Source organism: Homo sapiens, chromosome X (genome assembly GCF_000001405.40).
Source record: "Homo sapiens chromosome X, GRCh38.p14 Primary Assembly".
Taxonomy (NCBI): Eukaryota; Metazoa; Chordata; class Mammalia; order Primates; family Hominidae; genus Homo; species Homo sapiens.
The window spans coordinates 22,944,006-22,966,960 of NC_000023.11; the positions used below are offsets into that span (position 1 = coordinate 22,944,006).

Here is a 22,955-nt window from a genome sequence, read left to right on the forward strand (position 1 = left end):
ACATAGGAAAAGACAAAGAAGATACACCAAAAATGGTAAATTATTACCTCTGGGTGTTGGGATCATAGGTGAGTCTTTTCTTCCTGCTTCTTGAAACTTTTCTGTTTTCTGAATGCTTATAGTGAGCAGGTATTGTTGTTGGCCTTTGGGGAAAATAATTAAATGGGAGTAAATGTAGTCATACTCCTTGGATATACCAATATCCCAACAGCAGCCATGTTCTTGTTCCTTCTTCCACGAAGAAACCAAGTAGAGAATAACCATTCGGTAGCCAATTCTTACTCATTTCCATGGCCAGTCACCTCCAATGAGGGCAACATTTGGCAGAGTATACTGTTCTCCCAGAGAATTGGGTCATGGGTGTGGGGTTCAGGAATTCAACAAATAGAAGAGCTGAAATTAGATGAAGTTTAGATGAGACTTGGCAACACCAACTCCTCCATGCAGAAGAGTTTTCATAGTCTGCAGATGCTAATAAAACTTAAAAAGTATGGCAACAAGGAACTGATCTGGAGCCTAACTGAGAGGCATGCATGCAGTATGTGTGCTGCAGGCATGTCTCAATAAAGAGGTAACATTATTCTCTACTACCAATATTTTTAAAAGTCTTCTAGAACTAGTGTTTGAAAGGTGCTAGCCTTGAAGATCACCCATAATATTTCACACATACTTAGCTAAATATTGAACAGACTAACTCTCTAAAGGAATCTCCAGTAATTTTGACCCAAAGCTGCACATGGCGGCAGGCATTTGACTCCCTTTGTTTTACAAGCAGGGGTTTCAAGGAAAAGTTCTCTCTTCTCCACACCCCAGAGAGCCTATAGTTTGATTCTTACCCCAAAAGGGGAGATGGATTGATGAAGTTCAGATTTCTTACTAATGAGGCTAATGTGCTCTAAGATGGATATGAAATTGTCTAAGATAAAATTGTGAACTACTTTTCTACTTGGTGTCACTTGGATTATGAAGGGAAAAAATAGTTGTATGACCAAAACTGAAAAATGATTTATTTACAACCCAGGTACACAGAATTGGATTCATTACAACCTTTACTTCATGGCATATTCACATGATTGACCTATCCATGGCCAACTTATATTTGGTTTAACAGTATTTTAATTATTTCCTATTGCGTAATAAAATGGGAACCCACTACCTATTCTTAAAACAATTCTTAAAACAATTTTGACATGTATCCAGAAATATGCAAATGTCATGATCTCCCAATGTTGAGAATTACAACAACCTGCTGAGTTAAGAACAACAACTGGTGTTGGGAGATAAAGGTCATAGGTCAAATTTAGGGAGTGGAATTTATTATATAGGCAAAGAAAAATCAGTAAATCTAGTCCAAGAACACAGACATGGCTAGACGTATAAAATGAGTAGTTAAGGCTGGGAACGATGGCTCATGCCTGTAATCCCAGCAGTTTGGGAGGCCGACGCGAGTAGATCACTTGAGGTCAGGAGTTCAGGACCAGCCTGGCCAGCACGGTGAAACCCCACCTCTACTAAAAAATACAAAAATTAGCCAGGTGTGGTGGCAGGCACCTGTAGTCCCAGCTACTCGGGAGGCTGAGGCAGGAGAATTGTTTGAACCCGGGAGGTGGAGGTTGCGGTGAGCCGAGATCGCGCCACTGCACTCCAGCCTGGGCGACAGAGCAAAACTCCGTCTGGAAAAAGAAAAAAAAAATGAGTAGTTAAAAAAAAAAAATCAGCATACGACTTATGTTTAGAAGGCCCTTCAGACCCAGATACACTAGCATTAGTGATATCTGCAGATAAGAGATATGCATGTGAGTATGAATCCAAGAGAGTTGTTGCTTTGGAGACCAAATCTGGCACACCATTGCAGCCTATATGAGAACCTGGGTCAGCAGACGTATTACCCTGGAGTAAACAGGATGTCACAGGACAATGCTTCATATAATACTCTATGGCAGCAAAAGGTAACAGGAGTGGAGAGACCATTTCTCCTCCCATCTAGAACGGATGGAGGACTGAGTTCCTGCCCCTAAAAGTGAGGTAAGCCATTAGTTTTTGGACAATTTAGAGATAAAGGACAACACTAAATTAGGAGATACATTGGCAGTAATAATACTTGTGGGTCTATAGAAATAAGTTAGAAACATTAATGAGATATGAATCAATTTATTAAGCCCTAAGTAGCTGCAATGGACTGAATGTTTATGTCCTCCCAAAATTCATGTTAAAATCCTAACCCTGAATGTAATAGTATTAGAAGATGGAGACTTTGCGGGAGTGATTAGGTCATGAGGGTAAAACCCTTAAGAACGGGATTAGTGTTCTTATAAAAGGGGCCCCAGAGAGATCCCTCTCCTCTTCCACCATGTGTAAGGTTACTCTGGGAAGACATCTATGAGGAATTGGGCCCTCACCAGACACTGAATCTGCCAGTGCCTTGATCTTGGACTTCTCAGCCTCCAGAACTGTGAGATAAATTTCTGTTGTTTATAAAGCAACCATTCCATAGTACTTATGTACTTAGGTACTTACGGCAACCTAAGTTAGACTAAGACAGTAGTTACAAGAAGGCATAGCATAGGTGGAATTACCAGCACAATGCAAACAGAGCACAAATACCTCAGCATAGTGCTAAGGCTCTTCATAAAAAAATACTTCCTAACAAAATAGACCAGCTTTCGTAGTACTTGGTAAAGCCACAATTGTGCAAGCTTCAGTCCCTACGTCCCAAAGCCCAAGTCAAAGTCTCAAAGACTACATTTCTCCATAATAAGCTCAAGCAGGAGCCACAGGAAAAAAGCAGGGTAATTTTAAGACTGGTTTAAAGGAAGCAACCTGTCCATGTGGTGTGTGCCTATGTGTGTCTGTGTGTGGGTTGGTGGACAGCATTGACCAGCAGTCTAAAGTGCAGTGTTCAAAAGTACTATGTTAGTGATTTCATGTAACATATATATATCCAGGGAGGGTGAACTGAGTGTGGTAGAAGACAGAAGAAGAATGAGATTTCAAACCAAGCATAGAAATAAATTTAGTTTGACATGCTGGGTGCACACAGTGAGATTGGAAGGGGGTTGGGAATAGGGAAAAGGAAGCAGATCAGTGAGCATGCAGTGCCCGGAGCTCACACCAGACACGGTAGAGTTCATGTTCACAGTAATTCCAGACATCAATAACTAGTGGATGTGATGTTAATATAAGCTGCTTTCCTTGGTCAAGACTGGATAGAAAAATAAACTGGCTGAGTGTGCCAGTTGAAGACATCAGTGACTTCTACAGAAAGGGTCAGGGAAAGCAGATGCTGACATTCTCTAACCAGGTTTATTCATTCATGTATTCCCCTTTTTACTTTTTAAATATAAATTCTAATATCTGCAAAGTACAGTGCTAGGTGGATAAAGAAATGAATAAGGCATGATTATTGCACTCAAGAGCTTTGAATACAGTTATCTCTCACGTACCTGAGTCACTAAAAAACCCAAATTAAGGTTTTATGAGAATAATATGACAAACATACCACCAAAGCCGTGAGGCAGAAAAGAGCCCTTCTATTCAGAGGTGGGAACGTGGGAAATCAATGAAGAATTCAGGGCAACAGCATTTGAACTAAGGCTTCAAGGATGAATCAAAAGAGAAAAGGGGAAGAAGAACTGACATGTATAGAAAGAACAGGGCATAAGGAGGGACAAAAAGGCTGGAAAGTGCATGGTATGTTAGAGAAAAGTTCTCACACTTTAATGTGCCTACGAATCAACTGGGGAATATTGTTAAAATGCAAACTGGATTCAGTTGGGCCTATGTGTGGGGCCTGAAATCCTGTATTTCTAGCAAGATCCCAGGGAATGCCAATGCTACAGGTCCATGACAGGCCACCCTTTCTGTGGCAAGGTGATAGAGAAAATGTATACAAATATGACCACACTGAAGGGCACAGAGATTTAGAGTGTGTAATAAGGTTGATAACAGAGGTTGAGATTGGGTCATGGGTAGCCTACAATATCATGCTAAGGAATGTAAAGGTTATTACAGTAAGTCCCGGACAAGCACTTAAATAGTGAGTAGTTTCCCTTGATTCATCAATATCTTCTTCACATTGTTGACAGAAGTATCCTTTTTATAGTAAAAATATGATCTGGCCATTCATCTTCATAAAACCCTTTGGATTTAAAGAATGCTGGAGAAAAAAAAGTATCCAATGATTACGGTCGCTTGCTTGAGTGACTGGGCCAAAAAGTGATGTAGTTGACTGGGATTGGAAGCAAGGATTGAGAGAGAAAAGGCTGGGCAGGGAGTAGGAAAAGAGAGAGGGAGAAAGAAAGGAAATTAATTCACATCCTCAAAGTTCAGTGGTTCTCAACCATGACTTGACATTGGAATCCACATGGTGGATTTTAAAAGTATTGATGCTTGGATATCACCTGCAGAGCTTCTGCTGTAATTGGTATGGGGAATGAACTACGTATCAAGATGTCTTAAAGTTCTTGCAGTGATTCTAATGTGCATCCAAGGTTGATGACCACAATCTTAGCATCCCCAAAATATTAGGCATCTTGAAAATGATTCTCTCATTTTATTTTCACTGTAACTTGGTATAGAAACCTATCTCAAAAGGGGCTCCCACTGACCAAATATGGCACAATTTGAACCTCAAGAGAATACTACTAAAATGCATTGAAACACATCAAACATCTTCTAAAAAATTCTATGTATTCATGAAGTTTCTTTTGGAGATGATGGAAATGTTCTAAAATTAAACTGTGGTGATGGTGCCACAACTCTGTAAATATACTAAAAACCATTGAAGTGTACATTTTAAAGGGGTTAATTTTATGGTATACAAATTAGATTTCAGTAAAGCTGTTAAAAACAACCCAGGTATTCATATGGTAATTTTTTTATTATTATTACACTTTAAGTTCTGGGATACATGTGCAGGATGTGCAGGTTTGTTACACAGGTATACATGTGCCATGGTGGTTTGCTGCACCCATCAACCCATCATCTACATTAGGTATTTCTCCTAATGCTATCCCTCCCCCAGCTCCCCACGCCCCAACAGGCCCCAGTGTGTGATGTTCCCCTCCCTGTGTCCATGTGTTCTCATTGTTCAACTCCCACTTATGAGTGAGAACATATGGCATTTGGTTTTCTGTTCTTGTGTTAGTTTGCTGAGAATGATGGTTTCCAGCGTCACCCATGTCCCTACAAAGGACGTGAACTCATCCTTTCTTATGGCTGCATAGAATTCCATAGTGTATATGTGCCACATTTTCTTTATCCAGTCTATCATTGACGGGCATTTGGGTTGGTTCCAAGTCTTTTCTATTGTGAACAGTGCCGCAATAAACATACACGTGCATGTGTCTTTACAGTAGAATGATTTATAATCCTTTGGGTATATACCCAGTAATGGGATTGCTGGGTCAAATGGTATTTCGGGTTCTAGATCCTTGAGGAATCGGCACACTGTCTTCCACAATGGTTGAACAATTTACACTCCCACCAACAGTGTAAAACCATTCCTATCTCTCCACATCCTCTCCAGCATCTGTTGTTTCCTGACTTCTTAATGATCACCATTCTAACTGGTTTGAGATGGTATCTCATTGTGGTTTTGATCTGCATTTCTCTAATGACCAGTGATGATGAGCTTTTTTTCATATATTTGTTGGCTGCATAAATGTCTTCTTTTGAGAAGTGTCTGTTCATATCCTTCACCCACTTTTTGATGAATTTCTAAAACTCAGTGGTCATCTTTGGAGGTGTTAGTGAACCTACTCACTGTTCTGAAACTGGCAGCTAAAGGGAAAGAATCAAGCATTTGCCCTGCTTTTCTGTCACAAAACTATACATCAAAGTTACCAAACAATTCATGAAAAAAAATCTCATTTATAAGAAAAATTTCAGCTAATAAATGAAAAAGAATGATGGATTTGAGTGAGCAACTGTGAAAGTACTTATAAAACAATCAGGCAAATCTGAACACTAACTGGATATTTGATGATATTTGACTCAGCCACATAACAACTTGGGTGTATGAATTCACCTCTCTGCAACTCGGTTTCTTTATCGGTAAAATGCTTATAACAATGATAACTCGCTTATAAGATTTTTGTGAAAATTATCTAAGTTAATGTGTTTAAAAGGCTTAAAGTAGTGCCTGGCACATAGCAAGCATTCTATTTGCTATTGCCACTACTATCATTGATATTATCATTATTCTAAATTTCCCATCTCAATGAAGGATCCATCACCTAATTAGTTATAGAAGCCAAAAATCTGAGTGTCATTCTTTTTGCCTCATAACATCTTACCCATCCCCCATCAGTTATGATTCTACTCAATTTCTCTTCAAATAGTTTCCTTATTCTTCACACAATCACAGTCGGCCCAGTGGTGTGGTGGAGTAAGAGATGATAGTGCACATCTAGTTCCTCCTGACTCAGCATTCAGTGACAGCACACTGGGAGCTGGAACTTGGCCATGCTGGAAGTATCACCAAACCATACAAATCAGGATTTCTGTGTATGTGTGTGAGTCAACTGTTAAACATTCACCAGCACACCAATGCTTCCGGCTCTCATGATTTTGCCTCTAAATTACTGCAAAGCATCCTAATTGCCTATTTCTACCACTTTTCTTAGACCACTGTAATCCATTCTTCTTACTGGTACCAGAAAAAAAAAATGTTTCTAAAATGCGAATCTCATCACATCACCACCCTCCATATTAAAATAATTCAGCGGTTCTTCATTTCCCTTAGGTTAAAAGCCTAAATTCTTAGCATGGCATACATGGCCTATACTAGACTAGATACTATTAGTGTCCCATCCTTATCCTCTTAGCACTCATCTTTCTTATACATGCCACCAGCTTGTTACCACAAGCACATGTACGTCTCTGCCTCAGGGCTTTTTCTAGCCTCAGGGGAATGCCCCCAGTGTCAGGGAGTTACTCTCCTGGGAGCAGGCCTCACCCAAAAATAGATGGGAGTTGGGTGGATATAGATCCCAGTTCCCATTTGTCAAGTGAGATAACTCAGAGACACACAGTCTCTCCAGAGGTCCCCAGTGGATAGATGCCCAGTTGCCCACAGTTGTAATCTGCTTTCACTTCCCCTCTTCTAACAGTGCTTCCTGCAATCACCTCCCAAATGAACCACTGACCTTAAAGTTTTTATCTCAGGGCCTGTTTCTGGAGAAACCCAACTGAAGACATGGCCTTTCAATGTCTACCTGTTCTCCACTTCAGCCTTGTCATGCTTCCCTTCTCCCTTTAAGCTCTAGCTATACAGAACGTTACTTATAGTTCTCCAAAGGGAAAATGGGGTCTCACCCTTTGTTTCTTTGCATAAGCTGCTCATTTTATCTGGAATAATCAACCTTAATTCCACCTTTCTTCATCCAGGGAACTCAAGCCTGTCTTTCCAAACACAGCTCTGTATCTATCTTTTTCCTGATCACTACCATCCCCTCCCCCAAGTATGGGGCTCTTACTTGTTCTTATGTCTCCCGGTGCTTACAAGGCTGCTCCGCAATGGATTGTGGGTACCTCTGGGCTCTTCTCCAGCTATATACACAAGCCCTCATCCTACTCCCACACCTGGCATGGCCATGACAAATACGATCAAGTTAATAAAGCTTTGTTAAAGGAATATATTTTACATGACCTATTGTCCCTTATGTTCTCATCCTTGGAGAAAATATTCAATAAGGAGTTTACCATCTAGGTTGAGAGATAAAAAAAAAAAAAAAAAAAAAACCTGTTTTCTTGTATTTCCCAGTGATTATAATAATTACAAGTATTATCAAAAAACAAGCTATTTGCATAAATATAGCTAAACACCTCTTTTGGTTCAGCACTGTTAATATGTTTCACCAAGATCCTTAGTTTTCTAGCCCTGATGTTTTCTTATTATCTCTGCATTTCAGTGTTGCCTTCCAGGCTCTGCAATTAAGCAAATTCTTTAAAATTTTAAGTAAATAAGCTTTCACCATTTTAAAGTGGCAAAACATGCAGGAGCACCATTTAATCCGCTGATTCTTCCTTTGGAAGGGGTTTCTCAGCTGTGGCTGACAGTTTTGTGACTGCAAATCATCCTTGTCCAGAAGGGTTGGGCTTTCTGTTACTCGTACCACAGTACTCTGCGTCCTCTGCAGAATATACTTATTTGCAGCGTTTCAGCAGGGAGACCCTGGGAGGATGAGTCATCGTCCTTATCCAGAGAGTTGCCCTTGAGGCCACACTGAGAAACTGTTCTCTCTCTTAACTGTATAGAACAGGCTCAGATCAGAAAGAAAGTGTTCTGTTTACAGAAAGGTTTCCCACCTAGGCAGGAAATGATACTTCAGAAATGCTGAACAATAAATGCAAACGGGATATAATGTCATTTCTTGGACCCAAATGCATTTCAAGGCAATGAATCCCATCCAAACACACCGAGCACTCACTGCATCTAAAACTCTGTAGTAAATTCCAGGGAAGACAGAGACTACAAGACAAGGTCCCTGAACCCAGCCCCTAAATTATTTGTTTAACATTTTGAATATATTTAAGTATCTGTGGGAGATAATTTATATCAAATAACTAGTTATAAAGGCATAGCACTATCATGTTTGTATATAAGTGAACAAATGTGTGAATGCTTGAATTTATCTCTGGATTCTATATTCATAACTGATTGGTATGCTAGTCAAAACCTTTTGGAAGCACGTTTTCAGGAACCCCCATTCTCATATCTCCTTCCTGTTATCATTATCGGCACTAATGACATTGAGATAACCAGTGAATTACACAGGGGAAACAGAAATCAGGCACAGAAGGCCAAGATGAGGCTAAGAGATAAGCTGATGAGGAATTAGATGCAAGAGGTGGGCATATGACAGGCATGAGGCTTGACTTTGGATTCCAAGACGCTGGGGCAGCAGAGCAGACCAGGGTGGTAGGCAGGCATCAAGGATATGAGGTTCAGAAAGTCCAAGCAGGTGTGGTAATCTAAGCAAGTCATAAAGCTTAGAGCAGCCAAATGCACCACAATCCAGTAAGCATAAGAAGCCTAAGAGGAAGGGATACAGTAAAGGAGCTTGTGGAAAGCTTACAGCAGTATGGATGGGACTCTGGGAGTGAACCAAAACTCTGGAGCCAGACCTCCTAGGTTCAAACCCTTATTCTACCAACTACCAGGTCTAATATTCTACCAACTAATATGTCTCTATCTCAGGTTTCTCATCTGTAAATGAGGACAAAACAGTGTTATTGCCTCAATTCCACCCGCCAACACTATATGTGCCTCAAAGAAAGGAAAAAAACCCATTAACAACCAAAAGTGTAAAATGCTATTGATCGATCCCTTTGAGATGTAAAAATTAGATAAAAAGAAGTGTTTAAGAATGGATGTAACAAGGGAGTATAGGAGCTTTTTATCACATAGGGCTGCTAGGAAAATCACATAAGTTAATGTATGAAAAGCACTTAAAATAGCACCTGGTAGCAGGTGAAGTTCCTTGCAGCCCCATGGATGTGGGGTGGTGGGAAATGTTTTAATTGTAACATTTTGGTGTCTGAACTTAGAGGCTTCCCCTATTTTACTTCCTGTTTTTGTTTTCTGTCCCCATCCACAAATATGACACCTTAAAAACTCAAAACCAGTGTGCCAGAATGAGCCGATCCTCTCATTGCAAAGGTGGTTTCTGATCTCCAGTTAGACTCAGAGCTGAGGAGACATATGGATATGTCAATTCGTGTGCTTGTGGTGATTATTTCACATTGTACATGTATATCAAATCATCAAATTGTGCACCTTAAATGTATACAGTGTAAATTGTAAAATATAGGTCAATTTTAAAAATAAAATTAAAAATTGGCTTCACTATTTTACCTACATCTCTGTGTTCCCATCTTCACTAAATGTATGCATGACAATTTCTTACTATTTGTCACATCTTTGGTACTTTTAAGAATTTTTTTCATAAACTCTGATGGCATTTTTTAATTTATTTAAAGAGAGTCCAGTCCAATTTCACTGGTGAACTCTTTAAAATACTTTTTTAAAACAGATAATCCCCAAGATCTATAAACTGTTTCAAATGACAGAAAAAAATAGGTAACTACCTAGTTCATATTGGGAAGCTAAATAACTGTCATACCTGACAAAGGTGGCACAAAAAGGAAATGTAGAACCCAATCCTATTTATGAAAATTAGAACAAAAATTCCACATCAAGTACTAGCAAAAAATTTCATTAACTATTTCAACCTTCCACAACATGACGAGTAGAGTTTTCATTAGAATGTGCATATGACTTAAGACAAATATTAAATATATATCATATCAAAAATCAAAGAAGCATAAACTATCTGTGTCAAAGATGCATTTAATAAAATTCAGTAGCAATTTCTAAGATATTTTTTGTCAAGTATAAATGAGAAGACTGTGACTTCACTTTGGTTGAAATGAAAAATGTCAATTATCAATAAACATACACAAAAACATTAATTCCTAAGTAGAACAAAAATGCCTCTTTTAACTATATTCTTACTTTTTCAGTGATCTGGAACTGTTGGGCGAGGCAATAAAACAAGAAACAATATTAATATCATTTAGAAAAGAGGACACAAAAATTTTCTTTTTTTTTTTTTTTTTGAGACGGAGTCTCACTCTGTCGCCCAGGCTGGAGTACAGTGGCATGATCTTGGCTCACTGCAACCTCTGCCTCCCAAGTTCAAACGATTCTCCTGCCTCAGCCTCCTGAGTAGCTGGGATATTACAGGCACATGCCACCACGCCCGGCTAATTTTAGTATTTTTTTAGTAGAGACGGGGTTTCACCATGTTGGTCAGGCTGGTCTTGAACTCCTGACCTCGTGATCCACCCGCCTCAGCCTCCCAAAGTGCTGGGATTACAGGCGTGAGCCACCATGCCCGGCCAAAAATTTTCTTATAAAACTCAAGATAATCCACTGAAAAATTCTTAAAATCAATCAAGATTTAGTAAACTCACAAAATAAAAAAAAATAGAAAGTATAAAGTGTTCTATTTATCAAAAAAAAAGCTATATGATAATGAATAACAACAAAATATGTACAAATACCTCAGATAATAATCTTGAGTATATGTACTCTAGAGAGCCAGGAAAAAATACTTGCATAAATGGAGATACATACTACGATCCACCTGTAAAGAGTGAATCATTAAAATAAGTCAATCACTTCAAGTTAATTTATGAGCTTAAGTAATACACAAAACAGATTCTATTATTAATAGAACAAATCTCAAATGGAAGAATATTCTTTTAACTTTTTTTGTAAAAGGATAATAGTTTTCGGCCGGGAGCGGTGGCTCATGCCTGTAATCCCAGCACTTTGGGAGGCCGAGGCGGGTGGATCATGAGGTCAGGAGATCGAGACCATCCTGGCTAACACGGTGAAACCCCGTCTCTACTAAAAATACAAAAAATTAGCCGGGCATGGTGGCGGGCGCCTGTAGTCCCAGCTACTCCGGAGGCTGAGGAAAGAGAATGGCGTGAACCCAGGAGGCGGAGCTTGCAGTGAGCCCAGATCGGGCCACTGCTCTCCAGCCTGGGCGACAGAGTGAGACTCTGTTTCAAAAAAAAAAGAAGAAGAATGGTTTTCAAAGACTGAGAACTTGCTCTCTGTTAAACATGAGAAATAAAAATAAAATTCTAAGCTCCTCAACTGACTGAACAGACACCCTATTGGCCAAGGAGATCCCAGAGAAACCTTTAAAACTGAGTTCTTGGCCATGATGGCATGGGAGGTCGGGCATGCCTCATTATACCTCATTACTCCTTAACTGCCATTAGGCTTTCTTCCCTAAGTGCTAAATAGAAACTAGCCCTTTCAAAAGACTTGCTCCACCACCGTTTTCAACCATCTCACTGACTGCTGTCCCTCTCTTTTTGCAGTTTTGACAGAGCAACTGACCAGCATTCCTTCCTGGTAAGAGACCACTGTCCATGGGGTGGTTCTAGCCAATCCATAGAGGCTGCACACAGAGGGACTTTGTGTCCACTGCTTCACCTGTTGAGGTACAGGGTCTAATTGTAATACATTTAAATGTTAAGTCTCTACCCCAAAGTGAACATCAGAACTCATGTTGCATACATGTTGGCCTACTATGCATGCCTGTGCCTCCCCTTCGTGAATATTCATAGCTCCTCCTATAACCTGTTGAATGTGTATACTTAGCTAACCTACTCAGCATAAATTTCTGTTCCCTTTTCCCCCCTCTCTTGAACTGCCTGTTTCTGGCTTCCCAGCCTGTCAAAATGGCCACCCTGTAGGCTACAACTCTTTATAAGAAATAAAGCTCTCCTTTCCAAATTTATGAACCTCCTAATCCTTCAACTGACTAACATATTATAAAACTGCAACAATTTAAATGGCATGTCCAGCTCATAATAGGCATTATGTAGACATTTGTTTAACAAATACAGCATGAAACAATATATAGATCAAGGCAGGGCACAGTGGCTCATGCCTGTAATCCCAGAGTTTTGAGAGGTCAAGGCAGGTGGACTGAGGTCAGGAGTTCAAGAGCAGCCAGGTCAACATGGTGAAATCCCATCTATCCTAAAAATACAAAAATTAGCTGGGAGTGGTAGCACACACCTGTCGTCCCAGCTACTTGGGAGGCTGAGGCAGGAGAATCACTTGAACCCGGGAGGCAGAGGTTGCAGTGAGCTGAGATGGGACCAATGTACCCCAGCCTGGGCAACAGAGTGAGACTCTGTCTCAAAATATAGATAGATAGATAGATAGATAGATAGATAGATAGATAGATAGATATGACTAAGTAGTCTTGAAATGTAACCTAGAATGTATGAGAATGTAGTTTCTTTTTTTTTAAAAAAAAGGAAATTTTAACAAGCAGTGAAAAAGGGATATATGCTCAAAAGTGAGTGGAAAGTTTTCATATTTTTAAAATTTCAAATAAGAACTTTATCTTATACCATCCATCAAAAGAAATTATACATAAAGTGTTAAATATAAAAAGAAAGCAAAAACGATCAACAAAAAAGTTAAAAAATACATATTTATTTTAAAATCTAGACGGCTCGCAAGCCCCAAACGATCACAGTACTCACAAATGCAGACTGACTTGGAGGAGATACAACTGAAGTAGATAGCACGGTGGGTAAGGACATGGGTTCCAGATCAGACCTCCCATATCCCAGCTCGGCCACATGCTAGATGTGTGGCCTTAAGTAAATTAATTCTCTATGCCTAAATTTCCTTCTCGTTGGGATTTAATGAGTTTCCATTTTATAGATTTGTCGTGAAGATTGAGTTAATATTTTAAAGTGTTTAGAAAAATGCTTAGCACAGAAGAAGTACTGTAGACATTATTCTAAATATATATGAAAATAATAAACATCTATATCTAACAAAGACCATGGATGAAATGAAAAATCAGCCTGAGAAATATTTGAAATATTTGTCAGAAATGGATTTTCTTAATTTATAAAGAGTTTTTGCAAGTTATTAAGAAAACTCTTAATCAGAATCAAGAAGTAGCCAAAGTCTCACAAATAATAAAAAGATAGAAGCCCTGAGTTGCTTTGGGGGCTTTTCAGCGTCAGGAATGCAGGCTGCTTCTATTTTTCTGCTCCACTATTGACCTTTCCCAAGGTCACACCATGGTGCACAACAGTTAGAGCTGCAGCCATTATGCTTTCATTTTAGCCAGTAAGAATGAGGAATGGGCAAAAGATCTCATTTCCCTCCTTGAAAGGGGAATATTCTCCTTTCTCCCTATAATTCTCCCCATTCTCGCTAGAATTTGCAAATGTCATATTTTCCGGCATCATATGACCACACTCAACTGCACGGGAATATGAGAAATGCTGTGTTTGTTCCCTGCGCCTACATCCTTAGCTAAAAACTGGAGATTTTATTACTAAGTAAGGATGAAGAACAGCCATTAGCCAAGAAATGGTAGTCCCTAGTACAAACTCAGTGTTATCTGGCATGAATCAGGTAACGGCCAGTAGTAAAAGATACATGGCAGTAAAACTGCCGGTCTCACAGACTGCTTTTATGACTATTATATGGTATAAGCTTTTTTAAAGGCAAATTTTAATTTTTTTTAAGTTTAAAAATAGGCTTACATTTTAACCCGGGAATTACGTTTTACAAAAATATACTGTGGAAATAATGGGAGATTCAATGAGAAATTAACATACATGGATATACGAGGGTATTTACTACAAAACTAGAGTAGTGAAAGGTGAAAAATAATCCTAACTGTTCTACAGTAAATGAGAGCATACCCATAAAAGGGAACATTGTGATGCCATTGTAGATCAGGGAGAGGGAGGGGAAGGGGAAGAACTGAAATAGGGAAAGGGAGGGGGAAAATAGGGAAGGGGAGGAGGAGACAAAAAATACCAAATTAGTGTGATGCCTGTTTTATAAATTTAAATATTAATAACAACCAACCTTTATCGTGCACTTACGGTAAGTAATTTGCAGTATTATCACATTTAATCTTTATAATACCCTATTGGTACATACTGTTATTATCCTATTTTTACAGGTAAGAAAACTGTGACATGGAGATATTAAGTAATTGCCCAAAGTCACACAGTTATCCAATAACAAAAAGAGGATATAATACCAGTAGTTTTTTGTTTGTTTGTTTGTTTGTTTTGAGACAGATCCTCGCTCTGTTGCCCAGGCTGGAGTGCAGTGGTGCAATCTTGGCTCACTGCAACCTCCACCTCCTGGGTTCAAGTGATTCTCCTGCCTCGGCCTCCTAAGTAGCTGGGATTACAGGTGCACACCACAATGCTCAGCTAATGTTTGTGTTTTTTGTTTTTAGTTTTTTGGTTTTTTTTTTTTTTTTGTAGAGACAGGGTTTCACCATGTTGGCCAGGCTGGTCTTGAACTTCGGACCTCGGGTGATCCACCCACCTCAGCCTCCCAAAGTGCTGGGATTACAGGCATGAGCCACCATGAATACCAGTAGGTTTAACTCGAAGTTTGTAGTTTTCTCATGTCCTGACTGAAGAGACAGATGATAAAGTGAGGGAAGATGCAACAAAATGTCAACTCTGGTAACCTTGGTGATAATTTCACTAGGTATTTATTTTCTTCCTTATTCTTCTGTAAATGTCTAAAAATTTTATATGATGACTAGTTATTTTAATAATGAGTACAATAAAAGAAAACTCAAGTGTTACCAGCTTGTACTATATCAACCCATGTTGCAGGCTGAGATTTGACTTGTTTATAAATTTGAACTTATGCATAATTTATTAGACATTATCTAAAGAAATGTTAGCTGTTCTCTTGTTTGCCCATGGGAACAGGGAAAAAATATCTCCCACTTCATTGTTAAGTTATGCTCCTGATTTTCTCATCAAAATGCCTGACAGATAATAACTGTGGCTATTCATAGACACATGAATTTACTATACTAATATCCAGTGTCCTGAATGTAGGACAGTTGCAGTATAAGATGAATGACACATTAATGAGTTTTTCTTCCAAGTAGCTGGCATCAGGTCCTGTAAATAATATCTTTTTTCGCACAAAGGAGAACACATAGTAGGCATATGATACATATATGCAGAGTAGAATAAATAAAGCCCGCTCAATTTCAACATAGGATTTGTGCCATGCTGCATAATTTAACATGGCAGTAGTATTTCATTCCACAAATATTTTGGAGCATAGACTCTGCGTGAGGTGTGATACCAGGGTTGGAGCTCCAGCAATGAAACAAAGCAGACAAGGTCTCTGACTTCATAGGGCTTGTCAGCAATTAATACCCTAGAGAAGGGATAAGTAAGCTATGGCATGCAGGCACATTTTAGCACAACGTCTGTTTTTGTACCTCTCATGAACTAAGAATGGATTTTACATTGTTAAATGGCTGGGGAAAAATCAAGAGAAGAGTAATAATTCATAAAACATGAAAAATATATGAAGTTCAAATCCAGTATCCGCAAATAAAGCTTTATCTCCTCAAGTATTTGCAGAAAACAATTGATGAACCCTACCCATAGAGGTATCTATTTTAATTGAAGACCTATGAGGACTGAGACTTTGGAATTTTCACTAAACGGCATGTTAACCCCGCTTCTCAGATTTTGCTAGTAATTAAAATAGATACTGCTAGGGGAGGGGTCATCAAACATTTTCTATAAAGAGCCAGATAGTAAATATTTGAGGCTTTGCAGGCCACGTATTCTCTGCTGCAACTACTAAACTTTGTCTCGGACAATATGTAAACAAATGGATGTGGCTGTGTTCCAATAAAACTTTATTTGTTAAAGTTCATTTCTCAATTGTCTATGGTTGTGTAGCTAAATTATGGTTAATGGAATGTCACTGTGCTTTCCTAGCGGAGCTCAGGTAAACCATTTTGCCAGAGTGAAAAGGGACTGCAGCTGTTTATTTGCTACTATTAGCTATTTGTCAAGTGAATGTTAGAGAAAAACTAATATTTGTGTCTGAGTTCTGTTCAGAGAAAAGGAAAAAAGACAAACTAATATAAACACTATTGTCTTCTGAAATAACATCTTTGCATTCTTAATAAGAATGGAATATTGCTAAGCATCTGGTTTTATATCTTCTGATTAAACATTACTGATACAAAGATGATTAAAGGCTCTCTGAACATACTGCCCAAAATTTTGAATCTTGGTTATGTCTTGTAAATACTGTGGTTAAAAGGCAAAAACTACATAAATATATCTACATACCAAATGTTGACAAGGGCATGAATAACTAGAACCCTCATGCACTGCTGGTAAGAGTGTAAGTCGGTAAAACCACTTTGAAAAACAGCTGGTCAACATCTATCAAAGCTTAATATATGTATTCCCTATGATTTAATAATTCTGCTTTATGTCCTCAACAGAAATGTATGCATATTACATATCGAAAGACTTCTATAGGCATTTTTATTGCAGCAATATTCTTAAAAACTCAAAACTAGAACAAACCTCAATATTCATCAACAGTAGAATGAAAAATAAATTGTGGTATATTTATTACAATGAAATATACACAGCAATGAGAATTTTAAGAAAAACAACAACAACATTGCACTCAACAATATGTTTGAATCTCATAAGTATAATATTAAGGAAAACAAGCCAAACACAAAGAGAGCAAACTCTACAAAGTTTTAAAAAGATAAAAGTTATCCAGGCTGCTTAAAGGGGTTAGTTACCTGGATGAGGGGAACAGTGGCTGCAAGGGGGCACAATGGGGGCTTCTGGGTGCTGATAATGCTCCCTGTTTACTGACCTAGGTGCTGGTTACATGGTATGTTCAATTTGTGAAAATTCATCTGTATACCTATGGTTTGTGCACTTTGGACTTATCTGAGAAGGCTCTTGCTACTTTAGAAAAAATGCAATCAATCCAATCAATTTTAAAATCCCAAAATATACAGAGTTAGTAGATATGCTACTTTTGATGTGATAGAAATGGATATGCCTGAAATAGCAAGACATTCCATTTACGATGATATATCTACACGAACATAGAGCCCACGAGTAGATCCCTCTGACACAATGATAGGAAGGACCCATGTAAGGACTCCCTCCCTGCCCCGAACCTATATGCTACCTTATGAACTGAGGAAGCCTTGAGTCAAAGGGTCCTTTCTTTTAGGCTAGCAATAATCCTGCAAGGAGGTACTCTATTCCCATCACAGTTTTAAGATTTGTTTAGAGAAGAAATCAGTTATTCCTTTATACTGAGATTTTTTCTGCCTAGTTGTCATCAGAAAGTTCATGTGGCCTGTCTTTGGGTTATTCCAGTTTACACAGGAGTTTAAGAAGGACAGGCCAGGACAAAACTGAGAACATCTCTAATGTAACTCTCTGTACCGCTAATGTTTATACAAAACACACACACACACACACACACACACACACACACACACACCGCTTACCTCAAGCCTGAGGCCATTCTCAATGAGACATTACTGGGAACAAACTCTAATTCCAATAATGTTCATGAGATTGTGCTCTAAAGTCTTAATTGTCAAGAAAGCTGGAATTCGTCCTGTCCTACTTATATCTGTAACTTCAGTATCTAGCAAAGTGCCAGACGCATAACAAGAAGTGGCTAAGTGAAATATTTTATCATTTTAAAAATTATGCTTTGGAAAACTAATAATTAAGGAAAATATTCACAACATAAAACTAACTAAAACAAACCAGGGTAAAAAACTGTAACTATATACACATACACACACATAGACACACACCACAGCTTTAAAACCAACAAAAAGCATATGCAAGTATCAAAGGGAGGAAGTAGTAAAAATGATTAATTTAAAAAGTATAGAAATTATTGGTGACTTATTCACTTGTTCTTGCTTCTTCATAGTTTCCAAATTTGTAATAATTAATATGTATTACTTTTAAAACTAGTGAAACAATTTAGAAAGCACAAAAATTCGAAGGACTCATAGAAACACCAACAAAAGGCTGGGCGCGGTGGCTCACGCCTGTAATCCCAGCACTTTGGGAGGCCAAGGTGGGTGGATCACGAGGTCAGGAGATCAAGACCATCCTGGCTAACACGGTGAAACCCCGTCTCTACTAAAAATACAAAAAAAAAAAAAAAAAAAATTAGCCGGGCATAGTGGCGGGTGCCTGCAGTCCCAGCTACTCGGGAGGCTGAGGCAGGAGAATGGCATGAACCAGGGAGGCAGAGCTTGCAGTGAGCCGAGATCGAGCCACTGCACTCCAGCCTGGGCGACAGAGCAACATCTTGTGCCTCCTCTCTGCTAATATTGACACGTGCTCTCTCTTTTCTCCCCTCTGTAGGGCCTGAGGCCAGTCTCCATCTGCACATCCCTTTCCCTTTCATTCTAAAGAGCAAGCAAGTCACCGCTGGCATTTTCCTCCTCCCACGTTGGAAGCAATGGTTTAGCACTCTGGTAGAAACCCAGGGCACTGTTACCTGCACTCCTATAAAACTGCAGATACATTTCCTTTATTTCTTCACTTCAGATATCTTTTTTTTAGATTTCAACTTTTAAGTATGGAGGTACATGTGCAGATTTGTTACATGGGAATATCGCATGATGCGGAGATTTGGAATACGGATCGGGTATTACGCTAACTGCCTGGGTGATGGGAACACTTTAGATTTCTGAGGCTCAGCTTACTACGTGGGGAGGAGTGGTCAGGCTTTATAACACCCCTAGTTTGCTGCCTTTCCTGAATTCACATAGTCTGTCTACTTCTTATCTCCTAGACCAAATAGGCTTCTGCTCAAATTTTCTCTGCCTCGAGTTTTCTTTTCTTCTGGAGGCAACTTCTGAGCACCAGCTCTCCTCGGGCCCTATGTCACCCCCAGTTCTTAGCCAACTCAGCCAGTCTCTACAAAATGACTCACACATGATCTAAAGAAGCCACTTATTCCATAATATTTTAAATAAATACCCCCCATACCACAGATTAAAGGATGATTAAGAGATGCTTCATGTCCTCAGAATGCATGTTTATTAGGAAAAACAGCATAACAGGCTTTAAGGCAGGCTTTGGGGAAGCAGAAAGATGTGGAAAAAAAAAAAAAAAAAAAAAGAGATGAGAGGCCACCAAAGAGAACATGTTCATTTTTACAGTCTGAGAGGCCCTACAGCCAGAGCAGTTCAAGATTGCTAGACCTTAGAAGAAGCCTCAGAGATCACTGACGGCCTCCTGTTTCACTCAAAAGGATACAGAGGACCAGAGAGTTTAATGGATTTCCTCCCAAATATGTAGACAGCACTGTTACCTGCTCACCTACAAAATTGCAGGTGCATTTCCTTTATTTCTTCACTTCAGATATCTTTTTTAAAATTTCAGCTTTTAAATATGGAGGTACATGTGCAGATTTATTACATGGAAATATTGCATGATGCTGAGATTTGGAATACAGATCGGGATTTCTATGTCCTGTATAGGAAAATGTGCAATGCCGATATGGTACTATACATTTTCTATGTCCATATATTTTCCATACCCTTGCATCTTCCATGACAACTATGTGTTTAGGACTTTGGGATTTTTACAGACAGGTACAATTATAAACACAAAACCGCTGATTGCTGAGTATACTTGCCAACCTATCATTTTGCTGAGTAATTTTATTTTAAAAAAGGCAAAAAAAAGAAAATTCCATCTACCGTGAACATCATTTTATAAGAGACATAACCAGAGAAAAGGACGTTCATTTAAATGGTAGAAATGTGAACCAGTGTTGGGGACCCCACTGACTCTCTCTACACTGCCCCAGTTTATCAGCCAGCTGCTACACAAATGGGTTCACATGAATACTAAGACCTAGGTATACTGGTTTTACCTACATGGGCTCATCTTAATATCCAGTAGGAAATTACATTGACCGTCCATGTCTGTTTCCAACCAACGTCTTTGTTTGGGTTCTCAAAAGCAGACACACAGCCAAAGCTTTGAATACTAATAGTGTATTTGGGAGACGAGTGGTGGAATAAGGCAGGGAAGGGAAAGAAGCAACTACAGTGTGTACTGTGAGCAACTGGCTCAACATGGAACTGCTGGGGACCTCTAGGCAATACCTCAGATATTTAATGATCACCTCCACATCCATCATTGGTGAAGCACTGCTCCCAGGAGCATCTAACTCCCTAGCACTATTGGCCTGCTCCTGTAACCACAGAAAGTCTTCAGGCAAAGAGACACAACTGTTTGTGTGAGTCTCCTGTCACAGAGAGTGCTGGGGGGACATGATGTGGCACCAACAACATTAATATTGAGACTATTTCTTTTTTAATGCTACTATTGGGTGGATAATTTGTATGTTTTAACAAATAAGACCATTTTTTTTATTCCCTGAGTTTTCAAAAGGCATTCTAGACACTTTGTGATCTCTTTTTTAGTAAGAACTTGACACATCCAGGAGAAAATAAGAGTGAGAACTAAGGAGGTCTCTAGAGCACAGACGGTGATGGGACTGACTTATGTTGGCTTTTGCCTACTTAGGCAGTTAGATAATAGAAAAAAAAACACTTAGGACATAAGAGATTTAGGGACTGTCAGATGAGTGTGTCAAAAAAAGTTGAATTTATTTCCCCTTCCTAATAAGCTAAAATTAGTCACTACTGAATAAATCAAAAAGGCTACTGGCACCTTATTTCAGAAACTTGCCAAATTCTGATGCATAAGACTTTGTTGTTTGTGCTTTATGTTAACTCTGGATTCCTATCTGGTTATAACAAAGCTTTAGCATGATGTCTTTTCATATCTATAACCATACAGAGAGCCATATTAAGACATAAGGAAAAACAGGGTTAAGATTTATTGGACCAGGCCCTGTGAGAAGATTTAGATATTCCTTTATTTGCTGAAAATCTATCATTCCTGGCACTGTGTATAGGCTCAAGATTCAAAGATCAGGAAGATGTTTTCCTGCCCTCAAGGAGCTCACAGTGTAATAGACACAAAATCTGAATACAAACTGAATACAAAGTGGAAAATTAGGAATTGGAGTACCCACTGTTGCCAAATCAAGCCAAGGGTTTGGAAACTGGAAATCCAGCTGAGGAGTAGGAAAAGACAAGTCTCAGTGTCCAAAAACAAAAAACAAAAAACAAAAAAAAACAAACAAAAAAAGAGCTTATGTATAGTTAGACCACAGCAAAATCAATTGAAGTATAGGAATGACCCTAAAACTTGGACAGAAATTAAGCCCTTGCTTTCCCCGGTCATCCTTAATATTTTTCTCTTGGAAACCACTTTCCCTACCAGGTCCAAATAGACTTCAACTGTGACAAAGACATCAGTCTCAACATTTGGACCTGAAGTTAGTCCTGTTGTAGACTCCATAGCAGGCATGCATGAGGTGAGCCCTGGGTACCCCATATCTTGCCTTCACACTTGCTGTTTATATTGTAGGATTGAGTTTTTGCCTTAGTATCATATTGGCATTGCACATTTCCCTAAATCTCAGCCCACATGACCAGCACTTTAACTATTTCCAGACATATGAGTACATCCTTCTTACCAAGGCAGATAGATCCTCTTGCCATGTGTCTCACCGTCTATCTCCCACAATCTCTTGCAAGCTTCCTGGATCCTGTTCTGATTAATCATCTTGTCCCATACTTGGATGACTCTGAGTACCAAACATTGTCTGTGTCCCTGTTCCTGTGCCCCCATCTAACAGTCAGGGTCCCTCCCACAGGGCCCCTGCTTTCTGCTTCCTTCCAGAAGTCTATGTACTCCTGAAATCCCCAAAAAAACTCACAGAAGAGCTCCACTCATATATGATATTGGGCTTAGTTTCCAGATAATGTCTTCCCAACTAGATTGGAAGTGCTGTCAGGAAATTAAAATATAAGGGCCTACTAATACATGAGAAATTAATGCATTTAAGTATAGTAAGGGAAAAGCACATAGCTGCTGCAGTTGCATCTCAATAAAGAGCTAAATCTCTAGAAGAAGAAAGTCGAAACATAGTCTCATAAACTTGACTGCAGGCTGTCACCCACATATTTGAAATAATAACCAGAGGTGCTGAGTTTTCAATTTTCTGATAATATAATATTAGTAATTTTAACCCAACATCCAATATTGACCCTGGAAATGTTTTGAATTTAAGCCACAACATATGTACAGGCAGCATAACTCATTGGCAAGAACAAGTGCCAAGGTCACAATTCATGCTGGAATCATTTCTGCCACTTCCTCCCCTTCAACCACCTTCTAGTTGAAGTGATGGAGATTTGGTAGCATCTAGGAAGTTTTGGCAGCTGATGACAAGTTATTACTTTGACAATAACACCATGTTATTATTTTGAAATTTTAGCTACTGAGCCACAACACTATACACCCAAGACAGTCCTCTATGGACCAGCTGGGTGCATGGCTTTGAGGCCTGATGGTAAGGCCTTGGCAGGATTTGCTGTTCTTGGAATTACCCACTGCTATACAACCTCCTCCATCTCAGTTGACCCATCTTA

At 39.1% G+C, this 22,955-nt stretch overlaps 1 long non-coding RNA gene across 1 annotated transcript in view, besides 1 other annotated feature; it reads right to left on the reverse strand.

Annotated features, from left to right (window-relative positions):
* Positions 1-22,955, reverse strand: part of PTCHD1-AS (PTCHD1 and PHEX antisense RNA) — a 1,100,142-nt gene that overhangs the window by 751,001 nt on the left and 326,186 nt on the right. The gene's annotated exons all lie outside the window — the stretch shown is intronic.
* Positions 6,103-7,302: an enhancer, noted in NCBI's record as "CDK7 strongly-dependent group 2 enhancer chrX:22968225-22969424 (GRCh37/hg19 assembly coordinates)". NCBI's record gives its function as "activates an origin of replication core promoter dependent on BRD2, BRD4, P300/CBP, MED14 and CDK7 cofactors, with strong dependence on CDK7, by STARR-seq in HCT116 cells {active_cell/tissue: HCT116}" and the evidence as "EXISTENCE:reporter gene assay evidence [ECO:0000049][PMID:35650434]".